This window comes from Homo sapiens, chromosome 17, assembly GCF_000001405.40.
Source record: "Homo sapiens chromosome 17, GRCh38.p14 Primary Assembly".
Classification (NCBI taxonomy): domain Eukaryota; kingdom Metazoa; phylum Chordata; class Mammalia; order Primates; family Hominidae; genus Homo; species Homo sapiens.
Genome location: NC_000017.11, coordinates 70811071 through 70835625, shown reverse-complemented (window position 1 = coordinate 70835625; position 24555 = coordinate 70811071). Strand labels below are relative to the sequence as shown.

Sequence of the window (24555 nt, the reverse complement as noted above, 5' to 3'; positions counted from 1 at the left end):
GGCAAATATTTTTGTTCAACAAAGGCATTGGAATTCAATAATGAATAACATGGTCATGGTTCCTGCCCGAAGGAGACAAAAGTATAGTGAGGAGATGAGACACTTTTAATTACAGAAAATTATATGTACATCTCAACCGTGGAGAGGCAGGCTTGGCCAAGTGCAGCATAGGTAGGGAAATCCTGGCCGAGGGGACAATTGAGCAAAGGCTAAAGAACGGATAGAAATGGCAAGATTACACAGACTGAGCTTAACTAATTTGGTGTTGCTAATGTGTAAACACAAGGAAAGAATGGAGAGATTTCCTGTATTCTTGAGAATTATTCTGTCATAGAGGTAAGAGAACCAGACTGAGAGTCAGAAGACCTGAGCTCTAGTTCCAGAAGAAAGATCTTGGGGAAGTCATTGCAGGGTAATAATCTAGTCATTTCAGAATAATCTGGGGAGAGAATAATAGTTTTAAAATAAGGGTGGAGTATGCATGACTCCAGGGTCATCTCCTGCCCTTCAGTCCTGTCTCAACTGAAGCTTCTTTTCACTCACCTGCTTGATATGACAAAAATGATGAAAACATTTATTGCCAACTTCAGGATGGTTGCAAAAAATGAATGAAATAATGAATGTGAAATTGTATTCAAATATTAATCAATAACACTGTTGCTTAGAAACGGATATATAAAATAGACACCAAGATTTATCGAGATTTATACCGGGAAATTTAAATCTGCTTTACGGAGAAAGATAAAGCAGTTCTAATTAACATGTTCCAAAGCAATTCAAAATATCTGCTGTGCTCTTGGCCACTGGATGTCTATTTCGATAGAAGGGTGCTTAGAGTTTTTGTCCAGGGTGGAAAAAAGAAAATAGTATGTCCTTTAGAATTTTTTTTAGTCTTCTGGGATCTACTTTTTGTAATTGAGAGACCAAAAAAAAAAAGATAGATATTTAAAACTTATCTTTGGAAAGGAAGATGAAATGTCATAATGTTGTCAGTTTTTCTAATAATAAGTGGTGTATCAGATGCAATCTTATTTGAAACTCAGTGGGATTTTTCTCATAATGTCATATATTTTTACTAAATTTTACTAATGTGGAAAAAATAAGTAATTTAGTTTATCCAAGGTTATTCTAAAAGGATAAATGATAATGTGTGTGTATATATACATAAAAATGAAAAACTAAAAGTAAATTTAAATGACCGTTTAGCCAATATATTCATCAGTAGCTTTCTAAGCTTTGGGATTGGCTTTGAAAACACTACACGGAAAAAAAATGATGAAAATAGATTATATATTTAAAATAACTAAAAATTTTGGTGAGAAAATGTCAAAATTCTGGGAATAAAGCAAATAATGGATTTAGAAAAAATAATTGCATACGTAGCAAATTTTATCTCCTTATATAAAAAATGTAAATGGCACCAATAATGATGTGACATTTTACCCTTATTAAAGTGACCAATTTAAAAGGTAAATTCCAACCAGGCAAAGTTACATTTATACAGTATCTTCCTACATTATTTGAAGAGTATAAATTGGTATAGCCCTGTGGAAAGTAATTTGACAGTATATGGTAAAAATAACAATGTTAATCATTGTGATTTGGTAAACATCCTATGAATGTATCCTAAGGAAACAACTTAAAAGCAAAAGAAGTTATACACATGAAGGCATTGATTACAAGATTACTTGGAAATAAATGAGAACCAACCTCGTTTGCAAACGTAGGATAATTGAAAAGCCAGGTAATGTAATTAAATAACAGTATAGTGCTTTTACTTAATGATATTTTATGTGAGCACAAATGGAATAATAACAGCTACAGTGATAGGAAAATGCATACAGAATTTACGTGAGGAAGCAAAATTAAAAACTGTATACAGGCCAGCCGCAGTGGCTTACGCCTATAATCCCAGCACTTTGGGAGGGCAGGCCAAGGTAGGTGGATCACCTGAGGTCAGGAGTTCAAGACCAGTCTGACCAACATGGTGAAACCCTGTCTCTACTAAAAATACAAAATTAGCCGAGCATGGTGGCACATGCCTGTAAACCCAGCTACTTGGGAGGCTGAGACAGGAGAATCTCTTGAACCTAGGAGGCGGAGGTTGCAGTGTGCCGAGATTGTGCCATTGCACATCAGCCTGGGCAACAAGAGCGAAGCTCCATCTCAAAAACAAAACAAAACAAAAAACTGTATACAGATACTATGATTGCACTTCAATAAAGACAATAAATGCAATTAATAGAAATACTTCAGAAACTATTTCTTAATACTAAAAAAACACATAAATAATTTTTAATAAAAAATCTATAGAAAAGATGCATTATTTTGAAAACTAGTATATAAAGAAAAGCATCAAACATTTATCTTTACACTTCTGTATAAAGTATACTTGGAGTAGCTCACAGTTGACATATTTTTATATAGTAGTATTCTAGCTAATTAAAAAAATAAAACCAGGAAGTCAAATCAGTCACTTGTGCGCCCTGAAGGACTTTGAAACCTATATCAGTTAAAGGACTTTCAGTTGTGAGGAATAGAACCAACAGTGGTTTTCCTGAGCAATGATGAAACAAGTAGGAGATTGGAGGTTGAAATAATTGATGGAAAGTTAGAAAACCAGGCTTAGAAAGCAACCCAGGCTACTTCAGACATCCAAGAAGCAGGAAGCCATTCAACTATCTTTTAGGAGTCACATTCTGACCAGGATTCTGAGGCTCTGGGACCCTGCTACTGCTGCTTCTGCATATGAATTTTAACCTCTCTCCATCTCTGTCATACCTGTTCAAGATTCAAATCCTGGACATAAGCATCTACATTTTTGAGCCTAGAGGTCATGTGCACATATGTTTCTCTAGGAGAGTGGTTAAAACAAGGGAGGCTCTCGTACTTCCTGATTCTGTAAAATGGAGAAGACAATGCCTTATGCCAATACCAAAAAGCTAACACATGTTCACTGTGCAATTTGTTAATCACAAAGCAATAAATAATAGAAGACACCAGAAGAAACAGAAGAAATTCTATGCCTGCTAGGTGTAGGATACAAGACATCTCATTTGTGTCATCATTTAATCCTCACATCTCCAAACTCTTCATGAAAGATACTCTTGTTACCTTTCACATAAACTCACAATTCAGGAGAATAAGTGAGGTCACTCATGTGAAATTAGTAAGGCCAAGGTTTAAATCTAAGTCTTTATAACCACGAAATTCAGCTGCTGTGGGAATCCAGAATGAAGAAATTATATGCAATCGATGGATTGACTCAACGGATGACATTTACTTCAAATCTTGAAAGTTGAGTAAAAGTTTTGACATCTACCAATAGGGAAGGAGAATATCAGAGAGCGTGAACAACATGAGCAAGAATAGAAGAAGGAGTAGAGTTTGGAAGTCTTGGGAAAAATATTGAGAACACAGATTGAGGTTAAGACTAAGTTTTAGAAACCTTTGAAGGGCAGTCTAAGAAAAGAATTTGATCTTGACTCTGAGCATTCCTGGGAACCACTAGGTAATCTTGGACAGTGTGGGTAATATTATCAGAACTATGCTTCAGGAACACTAATTTGACAAAATTTTTATGAAATTATCAGCCAATATACACTAATCTTATTAAAAGGATGTGGCTGGCACTTTCCACTCTTTATTCAAAGACACAAAACGGTGTTCCTTACATAGCTTGTACTGAAATAATCTTGAAGGAAAACTCTTCCCGTGGATAACTTTAATATAAATAGCCACCTTTCAACTCGTATTAAGGTAAAACATCACGCATATAGCAATATTTGCTTTTTGAACAGCTAACATTTTATTTAAATTAAAAGTGGTAGTTGAACATATAAAAATTTCTAAGGATGCTTCGTGTTCTATGTAAACCTAATATTTTATTTAGAGAACAAGGAATGAAACCAAGGAAGATAGAATGACGTCAAAGACGTCAAATTACAAATTAGTGACAAAGCTAAAAAAAAAAGTCTAATTTAGCAATCTGGACTCTCAATTCCAATTATGTCTTATTTTACCACACAATTGCTGTCTTCTCTCCTGGCTGCTCTGGGACAAAAACAATCTCATAGAAACTGCTGCAGGTAACCGAACATTCTTTTATAATTTAAGAATAGTCTCTCATATTCCTTTTGCATTTTATGTATCCAAATTTTGGAAAAGTTGACAAAGACATCATCTTAAAAACATCTAACCTAATCTGACTTGAAAAACTATATCTTGAAACCTGACTTCTAGTATGTAAAATTATCAACAGATCAGCAAACTGGCCATTTAGATATCTAATTCCAATGAGAGATGAAAAATCATAGGAAATTGCATGATTTTTATCTTTCTATGTAGAAATAGCAAAGGAAGATTTATTTCTAAACCACCTAGTTTCTTAACCAAAAAAAAAAAAACCTCAAAATACATGTCAAGGGAGCATTTTAGGTTTTTAAATAGAAATTATCAATATGATCTGTCATCATTATTTACTACATGTGCTGCCCATTTATTTTTCTTTGAAAACAAAAGAAATTTAATCTTCCTTATTTTCTTTACTTAGCTAACTATATGGCATAGTATTTTGAAAGGGTTAAATAATTTCCTTCTCTTCTGCACATTTATTTTTTTTTCTTTTTGTGTGTGAGGTTCCCCACTAACCATAGCTCTGTCCAAAAGGAAATTAAAATGAAATACATAAGGCATGCTGGGACTTCACACTTCAGAGACTTACAAAGCAATATGGCCTGGTTAAATTGATTGTCACTTTAACTGCCCACAGCTACTCTTCAGGAAGGGGGCTTACGGTTTTACTGTTCTTAACGGGACCATATCCCTTTTCCAATAGCTTAATTTAGGTTGTGCTGAAATTCCTATTAAAGTCAGAGTCATTAATATTTCATTAAATATACCCATGATGTCAGAAGCAGTCATTCCGAGCCTGCCAAGTTTCAAAGAAAACTACTCTTTCTTTGTCGGGTTGTGCTAACATCCTGATATCTAAATTCACATTTACATTTTTTCATCAACCTGAACAAAAAACAAAAATGAAAGAAGGAATATATCAAATAACTCCCATTGTCTGATGCCTTCTGTGTTTTGATGTCTTCAGATGATACCACTTGCTCTTGACAATATGATCTTAAAACCTGACTTCAAGGATGTCAAATTATCAACAGATCAGCAGGCTGACCATTTAGATATTTTACTTTTGCACCACAAAATTAGAGTGTTTGACAAACAGATATGGGGTTTCTCTGTGTCAAGTGTACTTAAGGATTTTATTTTAACAAAAGTCCTCTAGCCAGAGCCACCTTAAAATCACAGAGCTGTCACATGAATGCATATATAAAATCCCAATCTTAACTAAAATGCATTGTCATGGACTTAGACAATTACTTGTAGATATTCATTATTCTTTGCTATTTGATTTAGAGAAAACTTCTGACAGGGTCTGGTTGAAAGCTTCAATTTTTAGTGTTTGGTTTTAGAGAGAACATGACTGCCCAAATAGCCAGATAAAAATGTGATGGATCTCTTACTCAACTGAGTCAACACTCATTCCTAAACCTGACTCATTCTCTTGGCCTTCCAGCCCAGTTCATCTTCATTGTATCACATTCTACATCTTCACCTGCCCTATGACTTCTAAATATTCACATTTTCAACATGATGACCTTCTCTATGAAGTTCTGTATAAGCAGTTCTCTGTTCTAGAATACATTTTCTTTTCCACCCCTTCTTCTAGGAAACATCTATAGTCCACACATGCTTTAGGAATCAGCTAAGATGCTATTTCTTCAGCTGGGAACTCTGCTCAATGGTCTCATAGCCTATAGCGTTTCCCCCACAACAGCCAGTGACTACTGTTAGACCAGGGATTTTCTATGGCTTGTTTGCAATTGTCTCCTTAGCACTTAACATGGTGCCTGGCATACACTAGCTCCTCCTCATGGTGTGTTGTTCTTGATAAACCTAATGTAAGAGATTCAGAAAATAAAGCATATGGGTTGCTTCCAATACTAAGAAATGGATGAGACAGGTAGCTTTCTGGCAAAGTTTACAGAATGGCCGAAATTTTGCCACAAACAGAAATGCACAAAGCATATTCTGAGGTGGCAAGTAAGTGACTTTCTCAAATTGCAGCAATGACAGATAAGGCAGAAATGTAAGTAAGGCTCAAGTATGAATTTTAAGTGCAATATAAAAAAAATGCCTCTCCTTTCCGGGTTCCTCTTCATTGTTTTAATGGACCTAAATATGATTTGTGACTTATTCCCTTGATAATCCTTTTAGTTAAGAACAATTGGTGGAGGACAACATAATGTACAAACTCCTCAAATTAGAGCACTATCTTACCTGAATAGAAATCATTCATACCATCAACTGGGGAATATTGCCCAAACCCAGTGGTACAGGCTCTGCCATTTTCTTTCTAACCTTTTCCCCTTCAGTGCCCAAGGTAATCGCTTCATTTCATTCTCAGAGAAAATGTAAGAAACTAAAAATCTACATGCTCTAGAATATTCCAGACAGTTAATATTTAAATTTCATTCAGAAATTTTCCATTGCACATAGGGAATGAGCTATCTAAAAGAAGTTCAGCCCAAAGAATTTTTAACTTAAAATTGAGATTTCCCACTATGTTTCTCAATAAGAATGAATTGAATTTTATACTAAAATGTTCGTATTCTTTAAGTAATATATCATGATGGCTGAAAAAGTAATTAATACAAATAATTTTTAAAAATAAATCAAAATGTTTCATTGGCACATGAATGATTAGTACCAAAGCCTGGCAGAGACACAACAGCAAAAAAAAGAGAATTTTAGACCAATATCCTTGATGAACATTGATGCAAAAATCCTCAATAAAATACCGGCAAAACAAATCCAGCAGCACATCAAAAAGCTTATCCACCATGATCAAGTGGGCTTCATCCCTGGGATGCAAGGCTGGTTCAACATATGAAAATCAATAAACGTAATCCAGCATATAAACAGAACCAAAGACAAAAACCACATGATTATCTCAATAGATGCAGAAAAGGCCTTTGACAAAATTCAACAACGCTTCATGCTAAAAACTCTCAATAAATTAGGTATTGATGGGACGTATCTCAAAATAATAAGAGCTATCTATGACAAACCCAAAGCCAATATCATACTGAATGGGCAAAAACTGGAAGCATTCCCTTTGAAAACTGGCACAAGACAGGGATGCCCTCTCTCACCACTCCTATTCAACATAGTGTTGGAAGTTCTGGCCAGGGCAATCAGGCCGGAGAAGGAAATAAAGGGTATTCAATTAGGAAAAGAGGAAGTCAAATTGTCCCTGTTTGCAGATGACATGACTGTATATCTGGAACACTCCATTGTTTCAGCCCAAAATCTCCTTAAGCTGATAAGCAACTTCAGCAAAGTCTCAGGATAAAAAATTAATGTGCAAAAATCACAAGCATTCTTATATACCAATAACGGACAAACAGAGAGCCAAATCATGAGTGAACTCCCATTTACAATTGCTTCAAAGAGAATAAAACACCTAGGAATCCAACTTACAAGGGATGTGAAGGACCTCTTCAAGGAGAACTACAAACCACTGCTCAAGGAAATGAAAGAGGATACAAAGAAATGGAAGAACATTCCATGCTCATGGGTAGGAAGAATCAATATCATGAAAATGGCCATACTGCCCAAGGTAATTTATAGATTCAATGCCATCCCCATCAAGCTACCAATGACTTTCTTCACAGAATTGGAAAAAACTACTTTAAAGTTCATATGGAACCAAAAAAGAGCCTGCATTGCCAAGTCAATCCTAAGCCAAAAGAACAAAGCTGGAGGCATCATGCTACCTGACTTCAAACTATACTACAAGGCTACAGTAACCAAAACAGCATGGTACTGGTACCAAAACAGAGATATAGACCAATGGAACAGAACAGAGCCCTCAGAAATAATCTATCTACAACTATCTGATATTTGACAGATAGTTTTATCTGTCATATCTACAACTGTCTGACATATCTACTATCTGACATATCTACAACTATCTGATCTTTGATAAACCTGACAAAAACAAGAAAAGGGGAAAGGATTCCCTATTTAATAAATGGTGCTGGGAAAACTGGCTAGCCATATGTAGAAAGCTGAAACTGGATCCCTTCCTTACACCTTATACAAAAATTAATTCAAGATGGATTAAACACTTACATGTTAGACCTAAAACCATAAAAACCCTAGAAGAAAACCTAGGCAATACCATTCAGGACATAGGCATGGGCAAGGACTTCACGTCTAAAACACCAAAAGCAATGGCGACAAAAGCCAAAATTGACAAATGCAATCTAATTAAACTAAAGAGCTTCTGCACAGCAAAAGAAACTACCATCAGAGTGAACAGGCAACCTACAGAATGGGAGAAAATTTTTGCAACCCTCTCATCTGACAAAGGGCTAATATCCAGAATCTATAATGAGCTCAAACAAATTTACAAGGAAAAAACAAACAACCCCATCAAAAAGTGGGCGAAGGATAGGAACAGACACTTCTCAAAAGAAGACATTTATGCAGCCAAAAAAACACATGAAAAAATGCTCATCATCACTGGCCATCAGAGAAATACAAATCAAAACAACAATAAGATACCATCTCACACCAGTTAGAATGGTGATCATTAAAATGTCAGGAAACAACAGGTGCTGGAGAGGATGTGGAGAAATAGGAACACTTTTACACTGTTGGTGGGACTGTAAACTAGTTCAACCATTGTGGAAGTCAGTGTGGCGATTCCTCAGGGATCTAGAACTAGAAATACCATTTGACCCAGCCATCCCATTACTGGGTATATACCCAAAGGATTATAAATCATGCTGCTATAAAGACACATGCACACATATGTTTATTGCGGCACTATACACAATAGCAAAAACTTGGAACCAACCCAAATGTCCATCAATGATAGACTGGATTAAGAAAATGTGGCACATATACACCATGGAATACTATGCAGCCATAAAAAATGATGAGTTCATGTCCTTTGTAGGGACATGGATGAAGCTGGAAACCACCATTCTCAGCAAACTATCGCAAGGACAAAAAACCAAACACCGCATGTTCTCACTCATAGGTGGGAATTGAACAATGAGAACACATGGACACAGGAAGGGGAACATCACACACTGGGGACTGTTGTGGGATGGGAGGAGGGGGGAGGGATAGCATTAGGAGACATACCTAATGCTAAATGACGAGTTAATGGGTGCAGCACACCAACATGGCACATGTATACATATGTAACAAACCTGCACGTTGTGCACATGTACCCTAAAACTTAAGGTATAATAATAAAATTTAAAAAAATAAATCAAAATGTTTCATTGGCACATGAATGATTAGTCTCTGGATACATGTATCAAGAAAGAGGAAGCATTCTGATTCAGGCTTATTTCAAAAAATGGAATGAAGAATGTACTTATAAGAAGAAAATGAAATTATTAGCCAGTTGAATCCTAAAGGAAAAAAGGAGAAAACAGAAAGGAAGTAGTCCATAGGCTTTTCTGGTCCAAGCAATGACTCAAAATTAGATGTGCTAACTATGTGTAACCATTTGAATTATATAAGCATTACAGAAGGATAAAAAACATGTTAAAACAGAAGAGACTATGTGATAAGAAAATAAGACCTGTGGTCTGAATAAAAGGAGGAAGCACTCTGAGATGTGTTATCTTGGTTCCTCTATTTTATAAGTAAAAGTTAGATAAAACCACATTTTTATAATATTTAGTTACTTATTTGAGCAAGTAGATATACAGGATTATCTAAACCTGCCAAATTGATGTCCCAGTCAAGCATCTCTTTATTTCTAAAATGATAGGGTAATAACAAAAAGGACAGCCTAATCTTGTCTCTGTCTTTCTCTCTCTCTCTCTCTTTTTTTGATTGAGTGAAAAGAGGAAATGCTCAGAAGTTCACAAGAGACAGAGTAGCCATAAACTCTCAGTTTGATCTCCAGGCCAAAGACATGTAGATAAATTCAGATTCAGCTAGGGCAGGATTAACACAAGACATGATTGAATCGGAGCAAAGACAGCCAGTCCAGACTCCCCTCCCTGATTTCTGGCACTCAATCCATTTTGATTGTACCTTAGCCAGGGCCTGTAATGCATTGAACATCTGCTTAACTATATTCTGTATTGTAGTAAAATCAAAAGGAGGTGCAGTGGGGGCAGTGCTCGCATTCAGCAGTTTTCCTGCTTAGATCACTCATTGGATTTGCTGATAAAGAAAGAAAGAAATAATAGAGGAAGAGAAGAAAAGAGAAGAGAAAAAAAAATCAGATGCATAAAACATAATTAAAACATATTTTAAAGCATCATTTTGCTAGAATGACTCAGAACACATGAAAATTATACTAACTACAGAATCTTCATTTTAATACTTCTAGATTAAAATCTCATTTTCACCTGGTAAGTGTATTTGACAGGTGGATTGTTCTTTTCTCACAAGTGCTAAGTAGCAATATAATTCAGTCCTGCAGTAGGCAAACTTTTTCTGCAAAGGGGATGATAATATTTTAGGATGTGCAGGCCAGACAGTCTCTTTCACAATGATACCACTTTGCTTGTATAGGGCAAAAGCAACCACAGACAACATGTTAAAAAAAATGGTGTGATTGTGTTTCCATAAAACTTTATTTAAAAATGGCCAGACCAATTTGATATGCATGTAGTCATCTGCCAACCCTGGTTTAGGCAATTGCCTTTATCATGCATCATTTAGAAACTCGGAATCTGCAAGCCTTTGACATACAAGGAGGAAAGTAAAGTAATTTTTTTTGCATATTGACAAAGATCCAAACTTTACCATTTCAAATCAAATCTCAAAAAAATTGAGTGGCATACACATGGTGAAAAAACTAGTAAATGCTTAAAGCAGGATTCCAGCATGATTTGTCAAACTCCAAAATCTGTACTTTTATAAGTTCATCCTGCTACTCTCTTCAAGTAATTGGTCAAAATTTAATAAGCAAATCAGGAAGTAATTAAGCATGCCTACTTTAAAAAGACGTGTTTTGTAAAATTCCCATGCCCCTCCAGACATGTGCTTAAGAAAATACACGTTTGGGAAATAATCAGGACCCAGAACTGTTCACAAAATTTAGTTCAAATGCTCCATTTTTAGTGAAAAATTTTATTTGCACAAAAGATTATGCTTAAGTATTTTTCTTTACTGTTTCATGAAATATATTTTCCAGTTTATACCTTGCCTTTTATTTTTATGGTATTTTTTGAAACATGAAAAAATATGTAAAATTGAAAATTTTTAAATTATTTCTATCATGATTTATTTTCCTCCTTTTGCTTTTGTGGAAAAGGAGGAAAAACTGGAAAGACCACTCTGAAGACCAGATAAATATTCACCAATAGTTTATTCTAATTTTTAAAATTACCTTATGATTTTAACAGTGTGAAATTTATCTTGATACATGATTTCAAATAGGAGTTAAACTAATTTTTTTCCATAAGTCACTAATTGTGACTATTTATTGAATAAACTGTCCCTTTTCAAAGGGTTTGAAAGGGCTTATTTTTATTAAATACTATTTATATCTTTATTAAATACTAAAGTTTTGTATACCTAGTGTGATGGTTAATATTGAGTGTCAACTTGATTAGATTGAAGGATACAAAGTATTGGGTATGTCTGTGAGGGTGTTGTCAAAGAAGATTAACATTTGAGTCAGTGGGATGGGAAAGGCAGACTCACCCTTAACCTGGGTGGGCACAAGCTAATCAGCTGCCAGTGCAGCTAGAATATAAGCAGGCAAAAAAAATGTGAAAAGACAGACTGGCCTAGCCTCCCAGCCTACATCTTTCTCCTGTGCTGGATGCTTCCTGCTCTTGAACATGAGACTCCAAGTTCTTCAGTTTTGCAACTTGGATGGGCTCTCCTTGCTCCTCAGCCTACAGACCACCTTTTGTAGGACCTTGTGATCATGTGAGTTAACACTTAATAAACTCATATATATATATATATATATATATATATATATATATATATATACACACACACACACACACATATATTCCATTAGTTCTGTCCCTCTAGAGAACCCTAGCTAATACAGATTTTGGTACCAGGAGTGGTTCTAGAGGAACAGAATATTAAGGATGAAGTTCTTTCACTGATTTTGGGGTTTCTGGAGTTGGCTGCTTAATATGATTAGACCCAAAAATGCTAAGGACTCTACTTCTAATAGTATGGAGAACACTGATAGTCCTTGGCATGAACTGTTTAGAGAGTTATGCAAAATAAATACATTTGACACTCCTGATTCATCGCTCATGAGAGTCAAGGAGTTTAGTGACTCTGTACATAATACCTTTGACCATATGTGGAGAGCCAAGGAACATAATGAAGCTAGTTGGTTGCTCCTAAGTTCAGTGGACAAAGTGATGACAGAAAATAATGAACTCGGGGATTCTATCTCCTAGCTTCAGAAGCAGATACTGAACCTCAAATCTGCTAAGATTGCCCTGAGTGAGTCTCATGTCCTGTAGAGAAAGAGCTGAAATTGTGGAAAAACAGACACAAGCTCTTATCATGCAAGTGGCTGACCTGCAAGGAAAGGTGCATGCACAGCCTCACCAGGTGTCTACTGTTAAAGTGAGGGCACTGATTGGAAAAGAATGGGACCCTGCAACTTGGAATGGGGATGTGTGGGAGGACCCTGATGAAGCTGGGGATACTGAGTTTGTAAACTCTGATGAACTTTTTTTGCCAGAAGAGACAGCTTCCCCATCCCCAGTAGTGGCAACATCCTCTTCCTGACCCATGCTGCCATCAGCCTTTCCACCTTTATCTGAGGAGATAAACCCTGTGCTCCCTGAGGCAACAGTGATGGCCTCCCATGAGGCAGTTGCCAGGCAAGGTAATGTTGATTCTCCTCAGGAGCCACCCGCAACACTCCTGTTTGCTTCTAGACCTATAACTAGACTAAAGTCCTGGTAGGCCCATAGAGATGGGACTGAGAGTATGACCCATGAGGAAGTGTGCTACACTTAAAAAGAAGTGCTTGAGTTTTCTAATTTATATAAACAGGGATCTGGAGAACAGGCATGGGAATAGATATTAAGGGTGTGGGATGATGGTGAAAGAAACATAGAGTTGGATCAGGCTGAATTTATTGATTTGGGCCCACTAAGTAAGGACTCTGCATTTAATGTTGCAGCCTGGGGAGTTAAAAAAAGGTTCTAAAAGTTTATCTGTTTGGTTAGCTGAAATATGGATTAAAAGTTCGCCCACTGTGAGTGAGGTGGAAATGCCTGATCTCCCTTGGTTTAATGTAGAGGAAGGGATCCAAAGGCTTAGGGAGATTGGGATGGTGGAGTGGATTAGTCACTTTAGACCTACTCATCCCAGCTGGGAAGGTCCAGAAGATATACCCTTGACCAATGTCTTGCGAAATAGATTTGTGAGGGCAGCACCCACATCTTTGAAGAGCCCCGTAATTGCTCTTCTCTGTATGTCAGATCTAACAGTGGGAACTGCAGTCACTCAACTACAAAATTTAAAAACAATGGGAATAATTGGATGCCAAGGTAGCAGGGTCCAAGTGGCAGCACTCAAATGTCAAAGGCAAGGTGGGCATAGCTACCGTAATGAACAGCAGAGGCAAAGCGGCAATCAGAATAGTCTGATTCATGCAGAGCTATGGCATTGGCTAATGAATCACTGTGTTCCTAGAAGTGAAATTGATAGGAAACCTACTGCACTCCTACTTAATTTATATACACAGAAAACTTAGAGGTCAAATGGACAAAAGACTAATTTGAATTATAAAAACATAGAATCACGCCCCTTCAATCAATTTCCAGACTTGAGCCAGTTTATAGACCCAGAACCCCTTTAATGAAGGGGAGGCTGGGTCTCCTTTAGGGAGGACACTACTACATTACTGACAATTTATGTAGTGAATCTTTATAGAGCAAGGCCCTGCCATCTTCTGCAGATAACTACTGGAACAGCACTTGGCCCATTATTTGGCTTTGGTGGAAACTGAACATTTGACTATGGGTCCTCAAGTCACCATGTGACCTGAACTGCCTATCAGGAACTGAGTGCTTTCTGATCCATCTAGCCATTAAGTGGGTTGTGCACAGCAGCATTCCATCATCAAATGGAAGTGGTATATATGTGATCAGGCTCAAGCAGGTCCTGAAGGCACAAGGAAGTTACATGAGGAAGTGGCTCAAATGCCCATAGTCTCCACTCTTGCCACCCTGCCTCCTCTCCCCCATCCTACACTGATGGCCTCAGAGGAGCTCCCTATGATCAGTTGACAGAGGAAGAGAAGACTAGGGCCTGGTTCACAGATGGTTCTGCACAATATGCAGGCACCACCCGAAAGTGGATAGCTGCAGCACCACAGCCCCTTTCTAGGACATCCCTGAAGGACAGTGGTGAAGGGAAACCTCCCCAGTGGGCAGAAATTTGAGCAGTGCACCTGGTTGTACACTTTGCATGGAAGAAGAAATGGCTAGATGTGATTCTATAAACCCATTCATGGCTGTAGCCAATGGGCTTGGCTGGACGGTCAGGACTTGGAAGAAGCATGATTGGAAAATTGGTGACAAAGAAATTTGGGGAAGAGGTATGTGGATGGACCTCTCGGAGTGGTCAAAAACTGTGAAGATATTTGTATCCCATGTGAGTGCTCACCAACAGGTGACCTCAGCAGAGGAGGATTTTAATAATCAAGGAGATAGGATGACTTGTTTTGTGGACACCACTCAGCCTCTTTCCCAAGCCACCCCTGTCATCACCCAATGGGCCCATGAACCAAGTGTCCATGGTGGCAGGGATGGAGGTTACACATGTGCCCAGCAACATGGACTTCCACTCACCAAGGCTGACCTGGCTATAGCCACTGCTGAGTGCCCAATTTGCCAGCAGCAGAGACCAACACTGAGCCCTCGATATGGCACCATTCCTCGGGGTGATCTGCTGGTGGCAGGTTGATTATATTGGACCTCTACCAACATGGAAAGAGCAGAGGTTTGTCCTCACTGAAATAGACACTGACTCCAGATATGAGTTTGCCTATCCTGCACACAATGCTTCTGCCAAGACTACCGTCTGTGAACTCATAGAATGTGTTATTCACCGTCATGGTATTCCACACGGCACTGCCTCTGACCAAGGCACTCACTTTATGGCTAAAGAAGTGCAGCAGTGGACTCATGCTCGTGGAATTCACTGGCCTTACCATGTTCTCCATCATCCTGAAGCAGCTGGATTGATAGATGGTGGAATGACCTTTTGAAGTCACAATTACAACCCAACTAGGTGACAATACTTTGGAGGATTGGGGCAAAGTTCTCCAGAAGGCCCTATATGCTCTGACTCAGCATCCAATGTATGGCACTATTTCTCCCATAGCCAGGATTCACGGGTCTAGAAATCAAGGGGTGGAAGTGGCACCACTCACCTAGTGATCCACTAGCAAAATTTCTGCTTCCTGTTCCAGTGACATTATGTTCTACTGGCCTAAAGGTCTTAGTTCCAGAGGGAGGAACACTGACACCAGGAGACACGACAATGATTCCATTAAACTAGAATTTAAGATTGCCACCTGGACACTTTGGGATCCTCCTACCTTGAAGTCAACAGGCTAAGAAAGGAGTTACAGTGTTGGCTGGGGTGACTGACCCAGACTATCAAGATGAAATCGATCTACTACTCCACAACGGAGGTAGGAAGAGTGTGCCCGGAATACAGGAGATCCATTAGGGCATCTCTTAGTATTACCATGTCCTGTGATTAAGGTCAATGGGAAACTATAATAGCCCAATTCAGGGAGGACTACAAATTACCAGACCCTTCAGGAATGAAGGTTTGGGTCACACCAACAGGAAAAAAAAAAAAATCCACGACCTGCTGAGTTGCTTGCTGGAGGCAAAAGGAATACAGAATGGGTGGTAGAAGAAGGTAGTCATCAATACCAGTTATGACCACATGACCAGCTGCAGAAATGAGGACTGTAATTGTCATGAGTATTTCCTCCTTCTTTTGGTAAACATATTTCCGCATAAGAAAGTACCTTCATTTTATTTCCTTTCTCCTTTATCATATGACATAAAATTTATTGACTTCACATCAGCATTTAAGTATTGTTAACTTTATGTAATAATATTTGGGTTGGGGATCGGTGCCTTTCCTGATGTAGTAAGGATAGTTGTATTATGTTAGGCATAATTATGACCTCATTCTTTTCTTCATTTGAAGATTATATATGATCTCAGGAGATGTGTATGGGTTCAAGTTAACAAGGAGTGGACTTGTGATGGTTAATACTGCCTGTCAACTTAATTGGATTGAAGGATTCAAAGTATTCATCCTGGGTGTGTCTGTAAGGGTGTTGCCAAAGGAGATTAACACTTGAGTCAGTGGGCTGGGAAAGACAGACACACCCTTAATCTGTGTGGACAACACCTAATCAGCTGCCAGTTTGGCCAGAATATAAAGTAGGCAGAAAAACGTGAAAAGCCTAGACTGGTTTAGCCTCCCAGCCTACATCTTTTTCCTGTGCTGGATGCTTCCTGCCCTCAAACATTGGACTCTAAGTTCTTCAGTTTTGGAACTCAGACTGGCTCTCCTTGCTCCTCAGCCTGCAGATGGCCTATTGCGGGACCTTGTGATCATGTTAATTAATACTAAATAAACTCCCCTTTATATATATATATATAAATATATATTAATCTATAAATATATAAAAATATGTATATTTATATAAATATATATCAATATATAAATATATACTAATATACATAATCATATGTAATTATATATAATTATATGTATAGTTATATATTTAATTATATATAATTATATTTATATAAATATATATTAATATATACATAGATGTAAATATATTAATATATATTAATATATATATAATATATATTATATAAATATACATATTATATATAATATATATTATATATTATATATAAATATGTAAATATATAATATATATATCTTATATATAAATATATAAATATTGTATAATATATATTTATATATAAATATATATTATATAATATATATTTATTTTATATAATTTATATAATATATATTATATAATATAAATATATATTTATATTATTATATAATACATAATATAAATATATATTTATCTTATTATATAATACATATTAATATAAATATATATTTATATTAATATTATATAATATGTATTAATATAAATATATATTTATATTTATATTATATAATATGTATTAATATAAATATATATTTATATTAATATTATATAAATATATATAATATAATATATATTATATAATACATATTTATATAATATATTACATAATATATATAATATATATTATATAAATATATATTCTATATATAATATAAATATATATAATATAAATATATATTTATATATAAATATATTATATAATATATATAACATAAATATATAAAATATATATAATATAAATATATAATATAAATATATATAATGTATATAAATATATATATAATATATATATATTCCATTTGTTCTGTCCCTCTAGAGAACCCTGACTAAAACACCTAGCTTGGAAACTGTTTGAGAAATTTATGTTTAATTTCACTAATAAATGTTATTTCTTCTATAGCATCAAATTTCTACTTACTGCAACTCTATAATACTTAAACATTCCTTTATCCCTCAAACCTCACTAACTCTTCTCCCCTGTTTATTATCCAAACCTCATTTTAGATTTCATTTGTATTGTTTATTTTTTGTAATTCCTTTAACCTAGACACAGATCAAATGCTTCCTGACAGAATGACTAGTTGAAGCATGAATATTAAGATGTTATATATTAGTTGACTGAAAGGAAAATAAAAAGAGATGGGCAAGGGCTCTATGTGGGAAGTGCCAGCATGTTGCTGGTCTTCAGCTGTGTTATGCATCATGCACTGAGGTCCACTCTTGTGGAACCAGCCACCATCTCTTCCCATTTGGATCAATCTTTGCCTTTCTTGCCTCAAAGGTAGGGAGGTCTTGTGGATTTAAATATTTCACTTGCAGGGGCTCAACAATTGTTTTTTTCCAATCACAGTTATTTGTTTCCTGTCAAAGAATTAGAATTAGGACATTATACATTGGTCTGCTTGCAATTACTATTTTGCAAGAGGATGATGAGGTTAGCATGAGAAGGCTAAACTAGACTGCTTCTTCTGACTCTCGCCAATGTGCTTTTATGTTGTTGATGGTTCTCCACCAAGAGGAATGTATTAGTCCTTTTTCACACTGCTAGTAAAGGCATACCCGAGACTGGACAATTTACAAAACAAAGAGGTTTATTGGACTTACAGTTCCATGTGGCTGGGGAGGCCTCACAATCATGGTGGGAGGTGAAAGGCACGTCCCACATGGCAGCAGACAAGAGAAGAGGGCTTGTGCAGGGAAACTCCCATATTTGAAATCATCAGATCTCCTGAGACTCACTCACTATCAGGAGAACAGGGCAGGAAAAATCCAACCCCATAATTCAGTCACCTCTCACTGGCTCCCTCCCACAACATGTGGAAATTCAAGATGAGATTTGAGTGGGGACACAGCCAAACTATATCAAGGAAGAAAGGCTCAAAGAACATTCCAAATGACTGCAAATACCTCCACTGATGACCTCACTAATTTAGAGGAATAGCAGCAAACGTTTTAAGATATTGTTCTCTACCTTTACTACTTTGCTCTATTCTGCTCTTTCTTGTAGGGATCCAATTGTGGACTTCTTGCTAATTCTTTCAATTGGGTGCAATTCATTCCGCACTTTACACTATTTATGTTTGGCTGAGGGCCCTTAACTTGTTTCATTGACTGTACTAATTGACTGTACTTACCATTGACTGTACAAACACATTGTTGCTATATTTACTCCATAAATCTCATTTTATTTTTGAAGAGGAGATTTTAAAAATTTAAACTCCCATGTTGTCTCATTTCTTGCAAGTTTCTGGATTGCATTTTTTTACTTATATGAGTTTTTGTCTTTTATTGAGGAGTTTTATCCTATTTGTATTTATTGTCATCACTAATAAATTTACTGTTTGGATATCAAGTTTCATTATTCCTATCTTATGTTTCTGGCTGTTTTCTTTTTACTTTTCTAGTATGAGTTACAATTTGTTTGCCTTGAATATTTAATATGATTTTTAATTACACAAATGGTCACCTTTTATTTTGTTGAAAACAGCACAGTTGAACTTAATCTTTTCTGTTTACCAATGTCAGTGACAAAGTAGTATCTACTTATTCCTATTTAAAATGAGGGAAGTAGCACATTTTTATTCTTTAAATCGCAGTTGCCCAGTTTTGGGGATACGACCCAGCAATTTAGAATCTGTTTATGATTAACATTTTATGTGTCTGCTCTTACAAGAATTAGTTGTGTTTTGTTTTATAATTACATTTATAATGCTTGTTTTTCTATGACTAGTTTAAATAGTTTTTGTGCTTTCCACCTTTAATGCTTTCTAGAAACTGTCCACTTTTGAAGTCTTTATTGTGATGCAGTTAGCTGAAGGATATCTTCAATTAGTGCTTTCAGAGAAAGTATAGGAGCCTGTCTTGCCATTATATTCACATTTGAATTGTACTTTGTTTGATAATAGGTATCTTTTGAAATAACTTATTTCCTTCAAATCTTGAATTCTTGTGTTTAATGCTGAGGAGAAGGCATTGAAAGGAGCCTGATTTTTTGTTATTATTAGTAGCAAATTTTGCATTATTTATGTTGTTACACTCTTGGATTCTTCTTCTTATTCTTTTGAGATGCAGTTGTCTATATCAGTCTATTTTGATTAATTTTGCCTGATGTATCGCGTACCTATATATTCTTCAGATTTGGGTCTTTTACTCAGGATTATATCTTATTCTATTTTTATTATTACTTCTGTTCTATATTTTCCAGTCTCGTTTTCTGGAATTCCAGTATTCTATATACTCCTCTCTACTTTCTATCACTATTACTTAATATATCTTATTTAAGACATTCTAGCTTGGATTTTTTGTTAGAGCAACCCAACTTCATATGAATAGATACAATAGATATACATTTTCAGTGCCACTTCAGCAGCACAAAGCGTAAGACAAGTCGGCATTTTCAACAGTGGCAGTTTATCTCTTCTTGCTTGGGGAAAATGCCTTACTGGGGACAGCTATCAATGGTCCCTGTTCTGTTTTGCTTGCCTTCACTCCCTGTACACAGTATGTCTGTCTCTGATACTCTTTTTGGTGCTGCTGTCTGAAATATCAGTGACAGGGTCTGCCTGATCAAGAAGAAAGTTCATTGTCTTTCAGACTTTCTGCCTGGCATATTTCTCTCACAGATTCTTCCAAATATGTTTCTCATCTGGGACACAAAAGAAAACTCATTTGGAGCACTTGATCTCAATCCCAAGCCCTATTTTGGCCATAAGTCTCCACCACGCTCTTTCTGAGTTGGGCATGTTAGAAGGATTTTACCAGAATTTTTTCCAAATTAATCTTGTCTAAACTATTTTATCGGAAGAAAGATTTAGAAATTTAGTGTCTTCCTTTAATCTCGTCATATCTTTATCCAGTTTTCATGGGAAAGTTTCAGCATGCAGATAGTATTTTGTTTTCTCTCTCTCTTTTTTTTTTTTTTTTTTTTTTTTGTTGGATTCTCTCTCTGTCACCCAGGCTGGAGTCAGTGGCACAGCCTTGGCTCACTGCAACCTCTGCCTCCTGGGTTCAAGCAATTCTCCTGCCTCAGCCTCCTGAGTAGCCAAAACTACAGGCATGCGCCACCACACCTGCATAACTTTTGTATTTTTAGTAGAGGTGGGGTTTCACCACATTGGCCAGGCTGGTCTTAAACTCCTGACCTCAAGTGATCAGCCAGCCTCGGCCTCCCAAAGTGCTGGGATTTCAGACGTGAGCCACTGTGCCTGGCCAGAGAAAGTAAACTTAGAATTCTATGAATTCTATCTCTTACAGTAAAGCAAAGCAGAGAGAGTAAGAGAATCTCCTTTGGATATTTTAAATGTTTAAATCTAAGTTTGAACCTGGCATTATTTAGACATCTGTGTTCAAATTACTGACTTTTTAAAAACATTGTTTTAAGAAATTTATTTTAATTGACAAGGAAAAATTACATATATAGTCCTTATGGTATACAGCATGATACTATGTTACATGTACACACGGTAGAAAGGCTATGTGGCTATGTCAAGCTATTTAACATATGCCTTACTTCAAATATGTATCATTTTCTTTGGTAATGAGAAGACTTTAAATATACTCTCTTAGCAATTTTCAAATATTAAATATATTACTATTAACTGTAGTCACTACGATGTACAATTGATCTCTTGAACTCATGCCTCATATCTAACGGAAATACTATGTGTCCATTGAATTCACATGTCCCCATTCCCCAGACCACTTCGCCAGCCTCTGGTAAACACAGTTTTGCTCTCTGTTTCTGTGACTTACTGAAAACTCTTGACCCTTAGTACTAATGAGCAATCAGTGGTTTTCAATTAACAGTGAGGTCTCAGACAAAAAAAAAAAGAGAGACTAGTTATAAATAAATGTTTTTGTTTGTTTTTTGTTTTGTTTTGTTTTGTTTTTTTGAGACAGTCTTGTTCTGTCGCTCAAGCTAGAGTGCAGTGGTGTGATCTTGGCTCACAGCAACCTCTGCCTCCCAGGTTCAAGCGATTCTCCCACCTCAGCCTCCGGAGGAGCTGGGATTACAGGCAGGCAACACCACGCCCAGCTAATTTTTTGTATTTTTAGTAGAGATGGTGTTTCATCATCTTGGTCTGGCTAATCTCCAACTCCTGACCTCAAGTGATCCGTCCACTTCGGCCTCCCAAAGTGCTGGGATTACAGACATGAGCCACCGCCCAGCCTAAAATGTCTTTTTTTTCTTAAATAAAAAACAAAAAACTGGCTACTAAAAATGTAAAATCACACATGTGGCTTTCACGTGTGACCCATGTTTGATTTTCATAAGACCAGCACTATGTAGAAAAGTAGCAAAGTCACTGATGTGTCTAGGACAGTCTGAGAGAAAGGAAGAAAAGCCAGAGAGTACAACGGAGGGCTGACCATAGTCCAGATGGAGAAGTGGCCTGTCGACTGTTGCAAAGATGTCAGCTTTCATTCTGAGTGAACTGTACATCCAAACCATTACCGCGTCTGAAGGAGAGAACATTTGGGCCGACATCATATTTAAAAGGGTCTCTATGTTTGGTGTTTTGTGCCTGGACACCAATGAAGCAAAGGTAAATTCAGGAAAATGAGTTCAAAGGCTATTTTATTAATCGAGTCAAGAGATGATGGTAACTACGATCAGAACAATCAGTAAGAGAAAACATCTTCTGGAAATCACAACAAATATACAATGGATGAAAAATAAGAGGAAAAAATAATGAAAATAGGAATAACTCTAGGAGGTTCAGAGAGGGGATAAAATAAATAATAATAATGATAATAATGATAGACAATTTCCCAAACCTGAAAATGAGTCTTCAGTTTGGAAAAGCCACTAATTAAAAAAGCAATCATCAATAAGATGCACTGTTTGGTAATTCAGACATTCAAAAAATAAAATGGATATACTAAAAACGTACGGAGGAGGAATAAAACAGATCACCTACTAAGAATTTGAAATTAGACTTCTCAGTGGAAACTTTGAATACTAGTAGAATATTGAGTACTAGTAGAGTATCTCAAGCACAGAAGAAAGTTCAAGGAGAATAATTTTGCACCAGGAGTCCGCGGCAGCTAGTGCAAAAGAGGAGGCAAAACTCAGTGTGTACTAAGGGATGGGGGTGAAATTAACAGCATGCTAGTATCTGTGCTTTCAATATTAGAAAAACTTAGTGACAGGAGCTTGATGGAATTTTTAGAACAAAGGTATAAAGATATTTAAGCAAATATAAAATCAATAAGTGAGGAAATTTGAAAAGTAGCATGTAAGCAGTGAATTATAACATAAACACTGATAACAGATTAAATCCCCAAATTGTGATAATATTATATTGATACAGTGGGAGAAGGGAACATATGAGTAAACAACAAAGTTAAACCCTTGTCTCCTATTACAGGAATTTGACAGATAACATCTGAAATTGATGAATATGTATGAATACAAATTTATACAAAATATAAGCACATTACCATTTCCTAAATATATTTAAAAATATAAACAGACCGGGTGTGGTGGCTTACGCATGTAATCCATGCACTTTGGGAGGCTGAGGCAGGTGGATGACGAGGTCAGGAGTTCGAGACCAGCCTGGACAACATGGCGAGACCCCATCTGTACTAAAGTTACAAAAATTAGCCAGGCGCAGTGGCAGGCGCCTATAATCCAAGCTACTCAGGAGGCTGAGGCAGGAGAATTGCTTGAACCCTGGAGGCGGAGGTTGCAGTGAGCTAAGATCACGCCACTGCACTCCAATTTGGGTGACAGAGCAAAACTCCACCTCGAAATATATATATATATATTTACATATATACGTAACTATATGTAAATATATATACACACACACATAAACATAGATAAATAGATGAAGGTAAACAGTAAAAGAAATAGAAAAGATTTGTCTCCCAGAAGCAGGATTAGGTGTTCAGAAAGAATGGTATTTTTCTTAGAAACATTTGGTACTGTTTATTGTCAATTTTGTGAGATGGATTGGATTATTAGTGTCAGTTATTCACTCCTTTGTAACAACTACATTCTCATATAACTGTAGACCCCCCGCTCATGTACAGAGAAATGTTCCTGACACTGCTGCAGGACTTGGATGTACACCCATGTAACTTTCTTTAGCCAGTGGAATGGTAGGGGACATTAGACACACACAGAGGCTTTAAGCATATTTTTGGTATTTTGTTTGCCTACTTGTGCTTCTCAGATCCACCAGGAAGAAAAAAGGATGCTACTGGCCCAAGGAGAATGTAGAAACCTGTGGTGTCAACTTGAACCCAACTTTACTACGTAGTGAAGCCCAGCTCCTTCCAGTCAAGTCCGAGGAGCCATAGTTGGTCACCCATGAGTAAGAAAATGAGCGGCAGCTGCCATAAGCCAAGAAAAATATGGTTGGTGTAAGACACTGAGAGCTTTGAAGTTGATTAATCAAAATTAACTAATACTCTACACATTTATGATACATACACCATGAGAAAATTCATCAAAACAAATTTTATGCTAATGAAAAATAATAATAACAAAAAAGGAATCAGTGGGAAAGTTAGGATTCCACACACTGGAACTTCACCTGCTCAAATAAAGTAGTCATATATCTATCTGTTTACTTCATTCTGACAACATTCAAATCTGTTCTTAGCCAGGTGTGATGGCTCACGTCTATAAGCCTAATGTTTTGGGAGGCTGAGGTGGGAGGATTGCTTGAGCCCAGGAGTTTGAGACAGGCCTAGGCAACATAGTAAGACCCTGTCTCCACAAAAGATTAAAAAATTAGCTGGGTGTGGTGGCTCATGCCTGTGGT

At 36.5% G+C, this 24555-nt stretch overlaps 1 long non-coding RNA gene across 1 annotated transcript; it reads left to right on the top strand.

Moving 5' to 3' along the window:
- Positions 1–298: 298 nt before the first annotated feature.
- On the top strand, positions 299–24352 carry LOC105371884 (uncharacterized). Its single transcript, XR_934956.3, has 2 exons — positions 299–412; positions 23962–24352. It is a non-coding gene; the product is annotated as an uncharacterized LOC105371884 (long non-coding RNA).
- Positions 24353–24555: the final 203 nt, after the last annotated feature.